Below are 18,502 nucleotides of genomic sequence, written 5' to 3'. Positions count from 1 at the left end.
TCATAATTGTTTGTTACTCTAGTGATACAAGCCATGGATGATAGTAGGAAAGTGAATTACACAGGCAAACATGGATAAGGGGGGTACTGCATTATAAGAATCACATGCATTTAGGATAAGGGGCTACTTGGAGAAGGGGAGTTTCTGTGTAAATAACACAAATAGAGAGATTTTCTTTAACTCATCTGGTTGCTTTTCCTTACTAGAACCTGTACTTTGAATATTCCTTTGTTTTTTTTTTTTACTTTTATCATTTGATGTAAAGACACTAACATTTTATGAAAAAGCATGGCTTACATGGGACTCTTTCCAAATAGTTTTATTTATATATTACCACTTTCATTTGTTATCTTTCTTTCTAAACAAAGAGTCTCAAAGCATATTACGACACCAAATTCATTAATCTGAACGTATGGTGAACCACTTGTTTGCCATTTCTTGAAAACAATTACTCTTGCTTTTACCTCCCCATAGTGATTCAGTGTTAAAAAATGGTAACAGAACCCAGTCCCCTTTATTCCCCTGCTTCAGGTCCAACTTTGATTACTTAGCACATGCCACCAATTCTAGGCATTAAATTGAATTTTTCAACAGTGAATCAATTAGCACACATTCTTTGTTGTGGTTGAGGAGGGGGTGTCAATAACAGAGAAACAAGATGGAGAAGAGTTGAGGGAAACAGGTTATTTTATCTTTCAAAGACAAAGTTCTGTGCGAGGAAGCTTCTTGGTGCTCATTAGGAACACAAACCTCCATACATGCATGAAGAATGGGAGCAAAAGGAATTTTAATCGCTTTTTCATGAAATCTGACCCAGAGTTGAACAAAGAGAATTCTAAATCTTTTGCATATGCCATTTTTTAGGGGCAGACATCAATCTTTTTCCCCCTTCTCTTGTGTTCCTTGAACAAAAAGAATTATTGAAACTGAACTTGTTCAGGTTTTTATAAATCAGGATGTCAACAAATACAAGCACTAGTCTAGTTACAACGAGAGACTGTAGTTTCTAGAATAAAGCTAACCTGTTTTTTTTTAAGCTCTACAAAGAACGCATTGTTTATTCTCATGTAGAAACGTCATGTAAAGCAGCTCTCTGTCAGGTATTCTATTTTTATTTAGTTGTTTCATAACTCAATTATAATGTTCCCCTTTACCTAATAATTAGGAGATATAGAGTAACAAGGCTGGAAACCTCTTCTTTTCTCCACTGTGTGTCAGTTACATTTCCAGATTGTTAATGGATAGCAGGTTATGCCTGTGTAGGTGAGTCCTCGTCCCTGCTGGCCTGGCAGCTTACCCCTGCACAGTAGCAAGGGTCAGCTCGTGGAGACGGGCCCGGCTAGAGGCCTAAGCAGGAACTTCCTGCCATCTGGAAGAGTCCGGGGCACAAGGAAAGATGTCAGCAATAGGTGCTCATATGACTCTTTAGCTCCCCTGGGAATACCAGTATTTCTCCTAGTTCCATGATTGGGAAAATTTAACACCCACTACCGGTAATTTGATGCACACGTTTCGGTGTCTGTATTTGGTGGCATTTCACTCTTACAGATACATGCCTAGGTTTTTGTGGCCACTTACTACCTTTTGAACACCCTTTCTGTGTTTCAGGAATCCCCCACAGCAGGAGTCCGGCCTTTCCAAAGTATGAACCCCAAACACATTTTCCCAGCTTCTCTTATAGCAAAGTTGCACCCTTAAATATATATACATATATTTACACACATGTGACCTAGACCCAGCCAGTGCACCTTAGCTGGAGAGATTGTTTTGGAAAAGAACAATGAGAGGAAGTAGGTGCTGCTCAGAATCCATTTTCTGGCAAAGGTGACGGTTGAGCTTCTAGCTGTGGGGGACGACATTGGCAGACGGTCTGGTGTCCAGTGCCTAGTGGTAGCGCTCATCGTGATAGAGGGGGAGGGCCACAGGGGTCTTCTTGTTATACTCATGATGGATACTGTGCCTAAGACCAAGATTTTCTTTACGATTAAAAACAGTTACAGGCATCTAATGTAATTGTTCATTAAACATAGACACTTCTAAAATCAAAGCATTTAACTTAATTTGTTGGATTTTTAAAAGTTATTTTTAAATAACTTTTAAAATAACTCCTAAAACTATTAAGATGGTAGCTTTTATGTGTATTATTTTCCATAGGCCAGTAATACAGCTTGTTATAAAGAAACTCAAGGACCAAAGTGTTTGTGGGAAACTGGCCTGGTCTGGTTAGTCTTGAGATATTTTGGGGGCACATATGGGTATATATTTAGTTTAGATATTATAATTTACCCATTTCTGAACCTCCTTCCTCCTTTTTCCTCCATTCTCTTTTCACCCTAGCATTATTACACCAATCTGTTTTTTCTGGGCCTGAGTGGACAGAGCTCTCTGAAATATAGCATGGCTTGTAGGCAGAGCTCCATTAGTTGGGTTGGGAAAGGGGTTACAATGGGACGTACGAAGTGAAAGTGGAGCAGAAAACCCCATATCCAAATTTTGGTGAAAAATACATTTTTTGAAGTTGATGCTATTTGTAATTTTCTAAATAATTTGCATTTTATGAAAAAATAATATTTTCTAAGAATAGGTCAATTAGTTTAAAAAATACAGTCATTATTGGGCCATGATAAATGGATCATGACCATGCTTGACACTATGGAAATAACTGCTGGGCCTAGAATCTGAAGATATGCTTGAAGAAGATTAGTAGGCCCCTGCTTTATAAGGAGGGGAATCATTGTAAAATATTTTCTCAGCCAGAATGACATACTACAACTGTATTACTGCAACATTACAAATTTATGGGATCTAAATCGATGAGTTTTAACCATAGAAATAAATTCCGAGGGATGAGGAATTTATGAACTCAGTACCTAGTACCAAGTTACAGGAATCACAATTAAAGATCTTCACTATTTTCTGCCTTATTCTACCATGACGTTAAAAAAGACTGATAGGCCGGGCGTGGTGGCTCACGCCTGTAATCCCGGCACTTTGGGAGGCCGAGGCGGGCAGATCACAAGGTCAGGAGATCGAGACCATCCTGGCTAACATGGTGAAACCCCGTCTGTACTAAAAATACAAAAATTAGCCGGGCGTGGTGGTGGGTACCTGTAGTCCCACCTACTTGGGAGGCCGAGGCAGGAGAATGGCTTGAGCCCGGGAGGCGGAGCTTGCAGTGAGCCAAGATCGCGCCACTGCACTCCAGCCTGGGCGACAGAGCACGACTCTGTCTCAAAAAAAAAAAAAAAAAAAAAAAAAAGACTGATATTCTAAACTCTGATGAGCCAGTCTTTATTTAGTCATTCTATTGATTTTTAAAATTATCTCCACTTCTATCCTGTACCTTGTGTCATATTTCTACATAATAGTATTCCTGTTATAAATACCGTTCAGGTATTAGTGATGCAAGCAAAGAGAATTTAAAGGTCTTGGTAAAGGTCCCTCAGGTGAGGCTGTAACTGACTGAATGGAGGAAGGAAACCAGTTTTCTCCTAGCGTTCAGGAGGGCTCTGTACCCCTTTCTAATCTGCCTTCTAGTTCTATGAACCTACATGCTTGCTTTGTATGTCTCATTTTGTGATTCCCACTATATACACAGAAAAGTATGAAAACAATAACCTCATATTACTATTAACTTTTTTCTGCTTTTTTTCATTTCATTCCCACTGGTATCTTATTATTAATAAATGATTTTAAACTCAATTTTGAATTCTTTTCTCAACACAATTTTCATGTTTCTATAATTCTAAAATAGTACTTCTAAGTATAGGAGATATAGCCATCTGGCTGGAGCAATCTAGATATAGTTCCACCAAGGCCAAGAATATGGCCTGGTTCTATCTTTGAGCGCCATCCAAACAGGGGTGTGCAGGTGTGGGAGAAACTCCTTTTAAGAAAAGGAGATCTTCTTTTAAGAAAAAACATGCTATTCTGCTCTGGGGAGTGCCAGCATCTTCAAGGTCTGCCTCAGTTGCAAAAAACCACCTCTCGAGAGATCACATCCTCCCTGGGGCAGCTTGCAGCTGGTAAATGAGGCTGGGATGTAAAGACCAGGACATTTTGGCCAGACAGAGGAAACTCTGATGGCCAATGTTTCCTCCAGAGATCTCTGCCAGATTGGTGTACGCGTTGTCAGGCCTGTAATCTAGCTAACGTCTTTCTCTGTCCAATCCTACTTCCTTCGCTTTTTTTCACAAGGTTGTTGATCCCTAATAAACATATAGTATTCCATACTCATCTCAGAGTCTGCCTTTGAAAACCTAACCAAGACAGCAGGTGAGTAGCATGGGATCTGGAGGCTTCTGCAGCCAAGGTCTGAATGATCTAAGTCAGAATTTTGAAATGTTGCTTGTCTTGAATCTATCTATCTATCTTTTTTAAACATTTTTTTCTTTTGTTTGGTTCCTGTTTTAATTGTTGTGTTTGTGTGTGGTCTGTCTGTCTGTGTTTTTCTTGTTGTTTATGTGTTTTTATGGAGAATTATAGGAAGCTCTTTATACATTAGACACCTGAAGAGAGTAAAATGTTGATTTCCTCATCAACTTCCGCTGTTGTTAAAAAGATGTGTTCTGCAAAAGGTACTTGGTTCTATCACGTGAAATAATTTACAGTTAAAGGACATGTATTGGCAATATAAGTAAGTGCATTGTAATAAAAGTAAATGCTTTTTGCCTGTTAAATCTATGGGTGTTTCATTAATATTATCTTGCTAGAAGTTGGCCAAATAGATCAACTTTGCCCAGTCTTTTGAAATGGGCGCACACTAGTCCCAGTTTTTTGAAATCTTAAGATTGCATGCAATCCTCTCCTCTCCGTTCCTTACTCTACCTAGCGTGGCTCATACTTTTATCAGTTCTCACTTGGATCCTTGTGCTGTCCCCTCCACTAGCTTCCTCTCTCTCTCTATCTCTCCACACAGCTTTCAGAGTGAGTTTTCTAAATTGCAAATCTGATCAGGTCATTTCTCTATTTAAAGTCCTCCAGTAGCTCCCCAAGGCTATTCAAGGATTTAAAACCCAGTCTTTTTCATGGTAGTCATAGAAAGCTGTTCAAGAATCAGTCTGCTTACTCTCCAGCTTTCTCTGCACAACTGCCTCGCAATCACCCCACTCCAGGCAAATTTCCTGTAGCTTCTGGAATGTGCATGGTCTCTCTTCCCCTTTTGCCTTTGTACATGCTGTTCCCTTTGTTCAAATGTCCTTCTCTACTTTTATTAATTTTTTTTTTTATTAAGGTAAGTCTTATTCTTCCTTTAAGTCTCCATTCAAGCATCAAGCAAGCTATAGGTGGGGGTATTCCTCTGTGGCCCAGAATATTCACTGCTACTAACATCTTTCCCAGCACTTATAAGACTATATTGAACATATAAGACTCTTACACTCCCCTCTAGACTACTGAATCCTCAAAGTCAGAAATGTTATCTGTACACACTAAGACTTAGCGCAGTGCCCAGCCCATGATAGGTACTCAGGAAATTTTTGTGTCTTTCTCTAAACTTCTTTATGGTTGCCACTGCTTCCTATAAATTTTCGCATGCCCTCCATTGCTTAGCAAACACTGTGTTGCTCAATACTGCATACTGTAGGTGCTCAGTGAATGTTTGTTGAGTGGATGACTATACTGCTGTTGTTGTATTTCCATTCTACCACCAATAAATGCTTAAAAGGTTGCAATTACCAGGGGCAGCTTAGAAAAATATTTGAAGTGTTGATTGACCGGTAGAAGTCTCTGAAGATGTTTTTATTTCACTCCGGAACAGTCACCTAAACCGTGAACTACAAGCTAATAGTATTCACAGGAGAGCGACTTTGTCTGTTTGCCTACACCGTTTGTGATATTAGCTATGCAAATAAATATTTTGATTGTTCATTTGGGAGAAGAGGATTACTTGATGACTGTCTTAAAGTATATGTAGGCTTATTATTAGGAGAATGATGACTAATTTTTCCCCCCATTGCTACAGCTGATTCAGTGAGGAAAAGTACTTAAGTTGTATCACTAGTTAAGAAAGAATATCTTTACTGGAATCTAGGGACATTGTGGGAACTCCTTTGCAGATGTGACTAGATGACATCAAAATTCCAGTTTTCACCCTTGAATCTGTGAAAGTCAAAAGGATATCATTACAATGACTAACTGCTACCCATAAAAAGGCTGTTGAATTTGGTGTTACATATACTATTCGCTACATTCAAAAATGAGTTAGCGGGTACATTCTATCAGTACGGGACTATCTTGGGCACTGCTGGAAAATCATAGCATTATCTCTGCTCTTATATCCCTGTTTTTATGTCTTTGGGCAAAAAGACACAGGAAAAGTTAAGTTCTAGTAAAAGGCAGCTTGTCTGTATGATACAGATTGTGTCTATGGCCATACCATCCTGAATGCACCGGATCTCATCTGATACAGATTATAAGTGCAGAGAATGACTAACAAAGGAGCTAGAGTCAGAGGGGAACAGGGAAAGCCATTCAAGGTAAGGAGAGTTGTATGCATCAGATATGTGTTTGTGTGGTTACAGACCCTATAGGTTATAGACAAGCTCTACTGAGAAGAAAACATTCATAAATATTTACTAAGCACTTATGATGTGCCAAGCTCTGTGCTAAACCCAGTATGTGCATTTTCTCATTTAATCCTCATGACAACACTAATACGTAGTAACATCATCTCACTTTGTAGTTCATGAGACTGAGGTTAAATGACTTGCCTAAGATCACACAGCTGATAATTGGTGGAACGGGGAATTCAAATCTGGTTGTCAGACTTCAGCAAATGGGACTAAAATTTAATTCTAGAAACATTAGCAAGTAGCTCCCAAAAGCAAGGCACAAACTGAATTGGTAATTTTGAGGCTTGAAAGCAGTGACATGTCTTCTTCAACAATGTATTTTCCCTATATCAAGCTCAACATGTAGGTAAGCTGGAAATGCCTTTGAATGAATAGACTATTTTCAAGGAGTACATACTCTAGTAGGGAAGACAGACATGCCTAAGTTACTTAATCTCCCAAAAGCTGTAGGTGCTGATGGATCATACTGGATACAAATCTGAGGGGAGAGGAAGTTATCCTATAAGCAGTGGGGAGGCATTGAGGTTTTTGAGCAGGAGAGTGACATGATGAAAGCTTATTACTGAAAACTTAATCTGCTGACTGTGTGCTACTTGTTTCCTTATTGTCAGCAACATTAAGCCACGTGGAACTCCAAGCAAGTTAGATCTGTGATGATAGAAAAGAGGAGGAAATATTTCTCTCTTTCATGTCCTGCTCACCACAACTCTGCTAAATTGGTTTAGATGCTGGAACAATAAATTGGAGTAAGAGCAGAAGCCTAAAATCTAAATGTGCGCTGACACTTTCTGTTCAATCACCGTTGTTTCTAAGAATACAAGGAGCCCCTAGATGGTGGGGGTAGGGTAGAGGGCAGGAAAGATTGCATGCTGCAAATATCTAAGAGAGATAAGGTCTCAGGTCAATCTTGTGTGATATTTTTAGAGTAATCTATTCATTTATTCATTCAGTCAATGAATATTTGTTTATTGAGAACCACTGTGTACCTGGTACAATTCTGGGTTTTGGGACTCTAGTACCCCAGAGAAGAAGAACAATAAGACTGCTGCCTCTATAAAGTATGCGAGCTAATGAGTAATTCAGACCATGACCATTTCAGATAGTGACATGTGACTATAAAGAAAATAAAACGAAACGACAGGATGAGGAGTGACTGAGGATGAGGCACTAAGCACTCTAGAAAGGACTCTCAGAGAAAAATCTCTCTGGGGAATTGATCTTCCAGAAGACTTGACTAAGGAGAAAAAAAAAATCAGCCATGCAAAGAGCAGAGAGAAGAGCATTCCAGACAGAGGAAATAGCCAAGGCAAAGGCCCTGAGGCTGGAAGTCAGAAAAAGAGGCAGCAGGAACTGTGAGCTTTGCCATTAGCCACATTTAGGACTTGGAAGAGCACATCTGAAATAATACCTCTTCAGATACCACGCCAGTGAAACATTTTAACAATTAGCAATTTGATGAAACTCCTTATTGTTAACGTTGTTCTTAATAACTAATTTAAATTTTCTATCTAAAAATGGGTATTTAAAATATTTTTGGATGTAAACTGACAAATAGCAAAAAAGAAATAGAGATTATAAATAAGACATCAACAAAATGGATGAAGAGTTTCAGAAGATCACCTTGGGGAGGGTAGTGGTGGTGAGGGTTGGAAATGAAAGGCTGAAAATCATGTACTATTTATTAATTTAATAAATCTGTCTTGATGTCAATGTAATCGAATGTTGCCACAAAATAATGGTCTCCTGCTGCTATATAAATGTTGAGGCCAAGCTCTGATGTTTATTTTCAAGACAGGAGACATTGATCCTTCACTAATAGAATATTACAAGTTTATTTCTATTATGCTAAGTAACCAAAGTTGATTTCATTGTTTGATTTGATGGATGTTGGTGCTGTCAGAGTTCAGAACGGTCTGGGGCTAGGAAGCCAAGAGGACGAATATTTTCTTGTCCTAATTAGGCACACTTGGATTTCATTCTAGTATCAAATCAATAAAGGAAAACTTTGGGATACTGAGTCCCTGGGATCCTTCTTCTGATGTCCCAGGGATTGGAACTATTTGGCATAAGATTGCTCTTCCCCTAAGACCAAGACGACTCTGGAGCCAGGCAGTGAGTGATTTGGATGGGGCCCCACCGAATTGGAAAGGCAACAGGAAATGTGATGAGAGGAAAAAGACAGCTATAACAATAGAAGGAGGAAGTGAAGCCCGAAAAACAAGGCAAGAAGAAAAAGTAACAGTGAACTACAATAATCCATGAGGAAACGAAAACCACACAGAAAACAAAACAACACAACAAAAAACCCAAAAGGAATTGCAACCTGCTGATTTAGATGCAGGGGACCCGTTTTTGACCATTTCCAGAGGTAGGGCTCTTATTTGCAGTGATCCAGTTAACGAATGGTACTGCCCAAGTTTCCCTTTTCCTACGCAGAATGTGAATTAAAACAAAGCTCTTTGTTTTCAGGTTTTACATACCACAGATCACACAGCCACATGGAGCTGGGAAATGTGATCGACTTGAAGAAGAATGAATACGGTGAAGATTGGAAAGAAGACATGAGCTGATCAACTTAGTAGGAGTAAGGAAAACCCTTTTTTTTTTTTTTTGAGACAGAGTCTCACTCTGTTACCAGGCTGGAGTGTGATGGCGCAATCTCCGCTTACTGCAACCTCCGCCTTCTAGGTTCAAGAGATTCTCCTGCCTCAGCCTCCCAAGTAGCTGGGATTACAGGCACACTCCACCATGCCTGGCTAATTTCTGTATTTTTAGGCTGGGGTTTCACCATGTTGGCCAGGATGGTTTTGATCTCCTGACTTCATGATCCGCCCGCCTCGGCCTCCCAAAGTGCTGGGATTACAGGCATGAGCCACTGTGCCCAGCTGGAAAACATGTCTTTTAAATATCGAAGGAGAAGTGGATACACACCAAATCATTTCTCTTCCCCATTGTATCCTATAGGGAGCCAAAATACTCACCTTATAGTAGTGAAAATCGGAGGAAATGATGGACCTGAGGAAAGATGAGTCTCCAATAAAGCAGGATGTGGCTTGTTGTTTCTGATCTAATCAGGAGGTTTAGGGGCCGGCTGTGCTGAAATGATATCCATAAGCCCTATTTGAGTGGCCCAACTGTATTTAACCCAACCTGAATTCACAGAAAAGTTTGTCCTTCTAGAATCATAGTACATGAAGGAGTAAACCTTAAGGGGTAGGGATGGTTGGAAAAATTTGTGTGTCAGATTCCTGAAAGGTTTGATGAGATAGGGAGGCTGCATGTAAATCTCAATCTGGTTATTTACTGGTTGTGTGAACCAGAAAAAAGTGTGCAAATAATAACACCTCACAGGATTGTGGTTTTTTTGGTTGTTGTTGTTTGTTTGTTTTTGTTTTGTTTTGAGACAGGGTCTCCCTTTGTTGTCCAGGCTGGAATGCAGTGGCACAATCAGGGCTCACTTGAGTCTTGACCTGCTGGGCTCAGGTGATTCTCCCACCTCAGCCTCCTGGGTGGCTGGGGCTACAGGTGCACACCACCATGCCCAACTAATTTTTTAAATTTTTTTTTTGTAGAGATGGGGTTTTGCTATGTTTCCCAAGCTATTCTGTAACCCCTGGGCTCAAGTTATTCTCGACCTTCCAAAGTGTTGGGATTACAGGTGTGAACCACTATGCCTGGCCTCAAAGCGTTGTTAAAAGCATTGAGACACTGTAGGTAAAACACTTAGTGCCAGGCACATTGTATGAGCTTAATACATGTTAGTTCGTGTTAACACATAAGCAGTCTGTAGCATGGGATGCAAAAACTGAAATTATTGCATGGTTGAACCATATAATGTTGCCAGCAGTCACCTTTGACTTACAAAAATAGTGATTTCATTCTCTTTGTTTCTTCCCTCCTTCCCTCTCTTCCTTCTACCTCTCTCTCTCTCTCTCTCTCTCTTTCTCTCTCTCTCTCAACAGGGTCTTACTCTATTGCCCAGGCTGGAGTGCACTGGTGTGATCATAGCACATGGCAGCTTCAAACTCCTAGTAGCTAGGACTACAGGCGTGTGCCACCATGCCCAGCTAATTTTTAAATTTGTTGTACAGACAAGGTCTCTCTGCATTGCCCAGGCTGTTCTAGAACTCCTGTTCAAGCAATCTTCCTGCCTAGGCTGCCCAAAGTGCTGAGATTACAGGTGTGAGCCATGCGCCTGGCCAATTTCATATATTCCCACTAAACTTTCCTCTTCCTTCCATATATATATAATATTACATATCTTACATATGTACAAAAGATTATATATTCCATTACATATCTTATATACATATGAAACACATATATATGCCATATATATGATATGAAATATATATAGTAACATATATAAACTGGGAGATAAGGTGATAAGTTGTAGTACTGTGCCTCACCTGCTCATTACCCTGTGGTAAGCTCCTTATGTCTTCAGAGAATTCCTGGGGCATGAATGTGTCTCCTTGTGTAACAAGTGATCAATGCTTCTTTAGAATAAAGAAAAAACCCAAACTATGAAACAGAACTGGCATTTTCTAAAAGGACACAAAAGCCAAGGCAAGAACAAAGGAAGCAGTACGGGAAAGTTGGGGTGTGGGGACAACTCTTTCAGAGTGATAGGAGAGTGTGCCCAGACCTTGGCCCGCCCCGGCCACACTGCTCCCCAGACTACCTGCATCCATTCCCACAGTGCGCTCTTTGCTATCTCCCTTCTAGAAACCAGACTAGGCTGAAAAGCCAGGATAAATGGATATAGTGCCCCCGAGTCTCTAATTTCTGGGCACCTCAGGGTCAATAATAGTACCGCAGAAGAATATTCCAGAGGTCAGTATATTTGGCAAAAACTATCTTTAACCCAGAGAGGTGCAACAACTTTAGCCTTAGGTCGGATCCATGGAGTCGTAGACATTGTTTAAGGTTCTCCTCAAAGAACTGAAAATTGCAGGAGAGTTACAGGGAGGACAGTGCAGGAGGTAAGCACAGAATAGTAGTAGCAGACCGACCATTAGACAGAAATATATTCTTTCTTAACTTCTTTAAAGTGGGCCTCCAAAACCACAGACAACATGGGTTTTAGAAGTTGGGCAAGGCTGGTGGGAATTTGCCTTGTTACTGTCAATACCTCAGCACCATAGGGCAGCGGGATCCTTCTGTTCTCTGCCTGAAGAATTTAGGTGCAAAGAAAAGAACATGAAGCATTTGAAAAGCATTCGAAGACAATGACACTGTAAAATTATTTTTCTGATGAGGAATCTGACTGTACATGTATCACCTAATGGTATATGATGGTGCTGGCAGGTGGCAATTGCCACCACAGAATACACATAAATCTTAAAAAACTACTGTACTTACTGTACTGCAATACATAGGGCATAGGCCAGTTGGTTTCAAAGACTTGTTGAGGAACCAGCCCTAACTCCCAAAATTTGTAGTGTCCTCTATATCTTTGACAAGCGTATATGACCATGGTAAGATTGTTTATACCTTATAGCTTATGATTGGCAATGGCAATATTCAGCCCTTGTCTTAAGCAGATTTCACTTGGCATAATGTATTTTTAACCACTTATTTTAAAACTATCTAAAGGCAAACAAAATGCAATAGTAGTATAATATGTCGTCGTCTTCCTTTCCTGCCATACTTGGTTAAGAGGATCTGATTATGTTTGAAAATTATGAAAAGCAAATGAAGTAGGTGTTTTTTTTCTCTGTTTCCATTTCTAACAGAAGGAAATGACACTGCCTGGAATGCTGCATAGCCTCCCTCTTGAGACTGGGGCTTTTGTTAGCTCCAAGAGTGCAAAGATATCATATTGGCATAACCTTACTAGGTGAAAAACCATTGTGAAGATTTAGGAATGCACTAAAAAAAATAGTAATACTTTTGAATAAAGAACACTCTTTGGCACACTTCCTATTACATAACTCTCAACATTTAATGACAAAAATCCAGCCAGTGAACATGACAACACTTGGAATTTGTTTTGCAAAATGCTACATACAGTATATGAAATTGCCATACATGGTAGCCCTGGTTTTTCATTTTTCATCTTCAGCTTATATATAATTCTTTGTATAAGGATAATTTTATTTTATTCCAAGTCACTAAACTTTACATTCTTGGTAGTGCTAAAAAAGACTAGACCCTCTAGGGCTGGAACTCTTTGGAACTGGCAGATCTGCACACCATGTCTCCTAACATATTGGTAAGTGTTTATGAATATGTAAATTGGGATTTAAAAAATCCAGGGCAATAGGTTATGGAAACAGTCATTGCCTCAGATTAGCTGATGTTAAACCAATAATAGTGTGTCAAAAAATGTTAATTTGAGGCCCAATTTCATTTATTATTCTGGTGTAAGTGACTAAATTGCACAGTAGCATAGTTGCAATGACTATTCATTTCATTACTTTGGTACATGGCATTTGAGCATTTTGTGAATCTGAGCATGCTGGTCTCTTCTGCCTGGGAGTGAAGTTTCACAAGGTAATCTGAATGACAAACATCTCAGAGCTTGCTCACATTCCTTGGTGGAATAGTCACTTCTGAGAGAAAGAGGTGTGGCTTCGTGGTCTGGGAAAAGGACTGCCAGCCAGGAACATGGAGTTCTTCTTCTGGAACTAGTTCTGTTTTCTTTTTGGATCAGCTAATGCTAACGAATATATCTAGAACTCAGTTCACCCAGTTTAAAAAGCTGGTTAGGGAAATCTAATTAACTGGGATGTATTGAGTAATAATGAATGAATATCTGTTAAACGATTTGAAATGAAAAGTGGTATGAATGCAACTGAGTTATTTGTATAAACTGATTAGTTTTATGAAACAAATAAATAATAGAACAGTTTTATTTTTGGGGAATATTACTCTAAAACAAGAAAATTTATTTTAATGTTTAGTTTATTTTTCTAAATATTTTTATTTCTAAGTGGTTTTAAGTTAATAAGCTAAATGTTCTGTATGATGCACATAATTAAATTCATGATTAGCTTCCATTTAAACATAAAGAGGTGGTCTCTTTGTTGTATATAACAGGTAAATCTTTTCTGAGGTCTCATGCACTGTAAGAATGTAGACATTATTAACCTTAATGTTCTACAGAAAAAAAAGTTAGGATCAAAGAAATGTATAGTCAATCTAGAGCTTGAGCAGGGTGGCATAATGAACTGCCTGTTTTAAAGTGATAAAGACTTCCAAGAATTAGATGTAGGTTCCAGAAAGAGAAAATTGTGCACACGTGTCCAAACGAAATGGGGGTACAGATGAGGGAGACCTAATGATTGAGTTATTGTGATGTTCTATATCTGAAAGAGTAAAGTTTTTTTAAAAAATCAACCTCAATTCCAAATGTTCCATTCTGGTGACATTGCTGGTCAGGGTTCCCCTATGCCAAATCCAGGCTCCCCAAATTCATCAATCTCATATGTGGGTTAAAAAAAAAACTCTAAAAATACATTGTGATTCTCTACACTAGGAAGCTTTAAATCTCCAATCTTTTCCCTTTTTAAAAAATGAAAACAAAACAATGGATCTTCATTTTTGTGTCTGGGATCTCAAATTTGGCTCTGAATATGTGTTTCAAATCTCATTAATTACAATATTGGTCCCAGGAGATACAGTTGCTGATGCAAAGAACACTCTTTGTACTCAACATAATTTGAACAAGGGCAAAGAAGCATTTTATTTACATGTGAAAACATTTAGAGGAAAATAAAACAGAGATGGTTCAGGTAGCTGCTGAGCTGTTTTAATGATAATTGATTTGATTACTTAAGCTTTAAGGTTACTATATACAGGATACATATACATATAAAAGTCATGTTTTCACTTTGTATATTTGTCAGATGAGAACATTCTTATAAAGGTAACTCTGACATTAACTTCGCAAGTTCTGAACTAAGACCTTTTAGCATTTTATTCTTTCCAAAGACTAAGACCAAATTGTTCTAAATTCCATACCCCACTGTGCAGATCTATAATTTATTTATTTTTTAAACATCAGAAAATATGCCATTACCCATAGGACTTCCAAATGTAACAAATCTGGGTAAAAACCAATCAAATGAATAAATTATAGCAGTAGACAGCAAACAGTTTCTCCTGTTCTCTTTCTTCATTTTCCTTTCTCTATAGGAAATAGCAAATTAAACCATGGCTATTCATGATCTTGTACTATGAGAACACATATGGGCATACATTTTTGTCCTATTAACAAGTTTGTTGGCTTGGTGGCAGAAAGTAAAGTACACTGTAAAGACATCTTAATGCTTTGAGTAGGGTCATTTGTTAATGGACAGCCCAACCTAAAAGTCTTGTACTAATCTCTTATGGTACCCATTGGCTGTCTTTAAATGGATACTGAAGAGCAAAGGCAGGCAGCCCTGGTTATACACAAGAACCACGTGGAGCTTATGAAAAAAATGCAGGTACCTGGGTCCATCCCCAAGGTTTCTGATCCAGTTAGTATATAAACAAACAAACAAAACCCAACAACAATGAAAATAAAGGCAATTCTAACGTGCCATGATTGAGAACCATAGTTAAGAGAGTCCCAACACCAGTGCAAGGATAATACCTACTTTGTTTTTGGATAGTAGGACAAAGCCCACCCTTGGTTCGTTTTTCCAGGGGCAGGCAGGAGGGTGTCTGAGAAGCTGCCAGAGCTCTCTGAGAACTGACAGCATTCTCTGAGCAGCACCTTTATAGGGAGTATTCTATAAGAGATGGAGCCTTGATATACTAAAAATTTTCTGGGTTAAGGCCAATGGAAGTAGATAATTGAACAAAAAAATTACATAATGCTAACCTTGAAGTTGAGTCTGTAAACTGTGGCAACCTTATACACATTTGAGCATTTTGAGCAAAAGTTCATTAAGAGAGGCTGACTGGCTCAGCTTCGCTTCAATCACCCAATCATTGCAGGTCATTAGAAACAAAAAGAAGAATATGAATGCCATATCCTAACCACCCAATAACTGTAGGTCATTAGAAACTGACAGAAGAATTCTTAAGTCAGAAATGGCAAATTACATCTCTTGGAAATTAATCTACTTAAGCCAGTGTATTTTTTTCCCCCACTTTTCCCCCCTCATTTCCTTTATTGGCTTAATTTTTGTCCTTTTAATAAAAGTGCTTTTTTTCTTATATCTTTTTTTTAACGATAATGTCTGTCCTCTATTACTTTTAATCTTTTGCTATCACACTCTATGGCTTCTTCATTTAATCCTGTATCTTCTAGTCTTCTCATCTTTTTATACCTCACTTTCCTCATGTTTTTTTCCTTGTCATTAACACCAGTATAGAAAGTCCTTCCTCTTCATTTTCCCGTCTTTATGTCTGGTTGCCAACCGCGTTTTTGATTCTCGACCTCTCACTTTTGCTAACTGCCCTTCCTTAATCATCTGTTGATGTTTTATTCCTATCACTTCTGTCAATGCTCACACCCATTTCTTTCCTTTCCATCTATCTGTATATCTCCATATGCATTTTATGATCCTCCTACTAAATGCTTAAAGCTGTGTGTGTGTGGAATAGAACGGTACCTTCCTCCACGCGAATCCGATTTCCCTCTCCTCCCATAGCTACTTCTTGTCTATTCATCCTTTCCAGATGTCGCCCTGTCCCACCCCATCTGTCCCCTTCTTCCCCGTGTGAAGCCCATCTTCTTTCTAACCCCATTTGCACCCGTCTGATTTTACAGTCAAGGACTTCAATAAGATAAATGATGCAGAGTTCTACTGGGAACCAGATTGTGTGTGTTTCTGAAACTTTTGCGCGTTTACTGAAATGGGATTAGGGATTTGGATACAGAAACATTCTCGGGCAGCCTTTCAGCCCTGGCACAGCTTTGTACACCTTGGAGCGCGCTGGGGCCTATTCTAACGGGCAAGGACAGGGAAGTCTTTCAAGACCTTTTCTGGCCTTTTCCACTCCAGGGGTCAGGATGAATAGGCATCACTGACCCAAACTGTTAAACCAGGCCGGGTGGGGAAGCCTGGGGCCCTCTTCTGCGGCAGATCTGGCGGGGTGTCCAGGGCGCCGCGGGGCTCCGTGCAAGAAGGGGTTGGGGCAGGGGCCGCTGCGGCCGCAGGAGTCACCGGGCCTCCTCGGGAGGTCCGCTCACCTCTTACAGAGGAGGCCGACCCCAGGCCGGGTGCTCCCCTGGGGCGCAGGGCGCGGCCCCGGGCGCCGCCACCGCAGCGGCGCCGAGGGCCGGAGGTGCAGCCTTTCCCCAGGAGAGAAGGCGAGTCGCTGTCGGTCGCTCAGCCAGAAGGTCGAGGGAACCGCGCGGGTGTCCCTCGCCAGCCGGCCCTCTGGGAACAGGGCGGGGGCGACACCCCAGGGAGTAGGGCTGAGGACCGCAAAAATCAATCGTGGGTACCGGCGCGGGGTCACGCATAGGAGAGGAGCGGGAGAGGGGCTGGTGGGGGCCCCAGGGCGGCTGAGGCCGTGGCTCTGTCGTGGACTCGGCGGGCGCCCCGAAGTCTGGGGCCGCCACGGCTCCAGCTCCGCCGGCTCCGGCCGGAGACTCCAGGCCGCAGTTTCTCCTCCTCCCGGCGCCTTCTCTCCAGTGAGGAGCTGAGCGCGGGCGGCGCGGGGGGAGGGGTGGCGGCGGAGAGAACAGCCAGTTGTTTAAAATCCTTCTAGAGCAGTTTCTAATTCCCCCCTTGCGCCCGGGTTCGGAGGGGGGAGGGGGAAGGAGAGCGGGTGGAGGGAGGAGAGCGGAGAGGGAAGGCGGGAGGGAGGGAGTCGGGGAGGGAGGGAAGGAGGGAGGAGACTGCCGCTGAGGCTTAGCCGCCACCGCGCGCTTCGGAAGGCCAGAGGGAGGGGGAGGCCTGTCAGTCTCGCGCGTTGCCTGGGCGAAGGGGGCGGAGCTTTGGCGTGGGGCGGCCAATAGTGGGGGTGGCTGCGTGGGTCGCCATGGGGACGGGGCTGTTCCCGGGGAGGCTGTGATGGGTTGACAGGTGCGTGACAGTGGGAGCTGCTCTCGGCACAAGCATGTACGGCAAAGGCAAGAGTAACAGCAGCGCCGTCCCGTCCGACAGCCAGGCCCGGGAGAAGTAAGTGTCTCCGCTTCTCACCCACCTCCGCCTTCACACGCGCGCACACTCACGCACGCACTCGCACACTCTGGGAGACACAGACACTCTCCGCCCGGGGAGCGCCGGGGGTGGGCTGGCAGGGGGAGGGGTGCCGCGATGGGGGCGTGTGGTGCGGGGAGCTGCGCTTTCCCGGGAGGTGCGGGCGCTGGGCGGGCGGCCGCAGGGGGCTGTCGGCGGGAGGGACCGGGTGTGTTGAGGGGCGGCGGTGGTGCTGGTGGCGAGGATGGAAACTTGTTTGGGTGATTGAGGGAAATAACCCGCGGGTTCACCTTCCAAAGTAACTTTAGAGCTGGGGTCCGGGGCTCCGGGGACCTGGGGAGCCGCCGGGGGTGGCGGGAGGGGCAGCTGCGTGGAGGAAGGCGCGCAGTGGGAATGTGGGTGTTTGGCGGGCCGGCCGGGGTCGGGGCCGGGGTCGGGGCGGGCAGCGCGGGGAGCGCGGCGGCGGGGGCCTGGGCGCTGGGGCTTAGGGCCGCGAGCGCGGGGCGAGGCGAGGCGAGGGCGGCGGTGCCGGGCGCGCGGCGGGCGGAAGCCGGGCGTGGAGCGGCCGAGCGGGGCCCCGCGGGGCGCGGAGACGCGCGCGGGGCGCGGAGGGCGTGTGCGGGTTGGGCGTCCGGGCTTTCCTGGGCCAGCTACGGACGCGGCGCCCGCAGTCCCCCGCGCATCGCGGGGCTGGGGCTGGGGCTGGGGCGGGGGCGGGGGCGGGTGGGCGCCGGAGACGCCGCCGAAGTTTGGGAGTCGGAGAGGGACCGAGTTCCCGGGGAGCTAAAGTGTGTTGGCGAGGAGCGGGATCCGCTGGAGGAGGCTGGCGTTTCTGCCTCT

General features: G+C 42.6%; 1 protein-coding gene across 86 annotated transcripts in view, besides 6 other annotated features; it reads left to right on the top strand.

Annotated features, from left to right (window-relative positions):
* Positions 9,492–9,797: a transcriptional cis regulatory region, noted in NCBI's record as "candidate enhancer chr5.2010 targeted for multiplex CRISPR interference". NCBI's record gives its function as "positively regulates SSBP2 gene expression with high confidence in K562 cells {active_cell/tissue: K562}" and the evidence as "EXISTENCE:mutant phenotype evidence [ECO:0000015][PMID:30612741]".
* Positions 13,731–13,816: a transcriptional cis regulatory region, noted in NCBI's record as "candidate enhancer chr5.2009 targeted for multiplex CRISPR interference". NCBI's record gives its function as "positively regulates SSBP2 gene expression in K562 cells {active_cell/tissue: K562}" and the evidence as "EXISTENCE:mutant phenotype evidence [ECO:0000015][PMID:30612741]".
* Positions 16,624–16,973: a silencer, noted in NCBI's record as "silent region_16146". NCBI's record gives its function as "represses an Ori minimal core promoter by ATAC-STARR-seq in GM12878 lymphoblastoid cells {active_cell/tissue: GM12878}" and the evidence as "EXISTENCE:reporter gene assay evidence [ECO:0000049][PMID:35858748]".
* The window catches only part of SSBP2 (single stranded DNA binding protein 2), a 339,004-nt gene continuing 337,316 nt past the window's right edge, over positions 16,815–18,502 (top strand). For 78 of the 86 annotated variants that reach the window (NR_174559.1, NR_174539.1, NR_174533.1 and 75 more), the window contains exon 1: positions 17,525–17,641. Coding sequence is in view for 33 of the 86 variants with exons in the window: in NM_001400364.1 (NP_001387293.1) it covers positions 17,580–17,641 (62 nt within the window). In the remaining 53 variants the exon portion in view is untranslated. Of the gene's footprint in view, positions 16,955–17,524; positions 17,642–17,773; positions 17,820–17,872; positions 17,961–18,502 lie in introns of those variants that run through there. The other 8 variants (NR_174563.1, XM_047417066.1, XM_047417062.1 and 5 more) reach the window with 4 other exon arrangements.
* Positions 17,244–17,573: a silencer, noted in NCBI's record as "silent region_16145". NCBI's record gives its function as "represses an Ori minimal core promoter by ATAC-STARR-seq in GM12878 lymphoblastoid cells {active_cell/tissue: GM12878}" and the evidence as "EXISTENCE:reporter gene assay evidence [ECO:0000049][PMID:35858748]".
* Positions 17,744–17,793: a silencer, noted in NCBI's record as "silent region_16144". NCBI's record gives its function as "represses an Ori minimal core promoter by ATAC-STARR-seq in GM12878 lymphoblastoid cells {active_cell/tissue: GM12878}" and the evidence as "EXISTENCE:reporter gene assay evidence [ECO:0000049][PMID:35858748]".
* Positions 18,234–18,283: a silencer, noted in NCBI's record as "silent region_16143". NCBI's record gives its function as "represses an Ori minimal core promoter by ATAC-STARR-seq in GM12878 lymphoblastoid cells {active_cell/tissue: GM12878}" and the evidence as "EXISTENCE:reporter gene assay evidence [ECO:0000049][PMID:35858748]".

This window comes from Homo sapiens, chromosome 5 (assembly GCF_000001405.40).
Source record: "Homo sapiens chromosome 5, GRCh38.p14 Primary Assembly".
In the NCBI taxonomy this organism is placed as follows: domain Eukaryota; kingdom Metazoa; phylum Chordata; class Mammalia; order Primates; family Hominidae; genus Homo; species Homo sapiens.
This window is presented reverse-complemented; position numbering and strand designations above follow the sequence as displayed.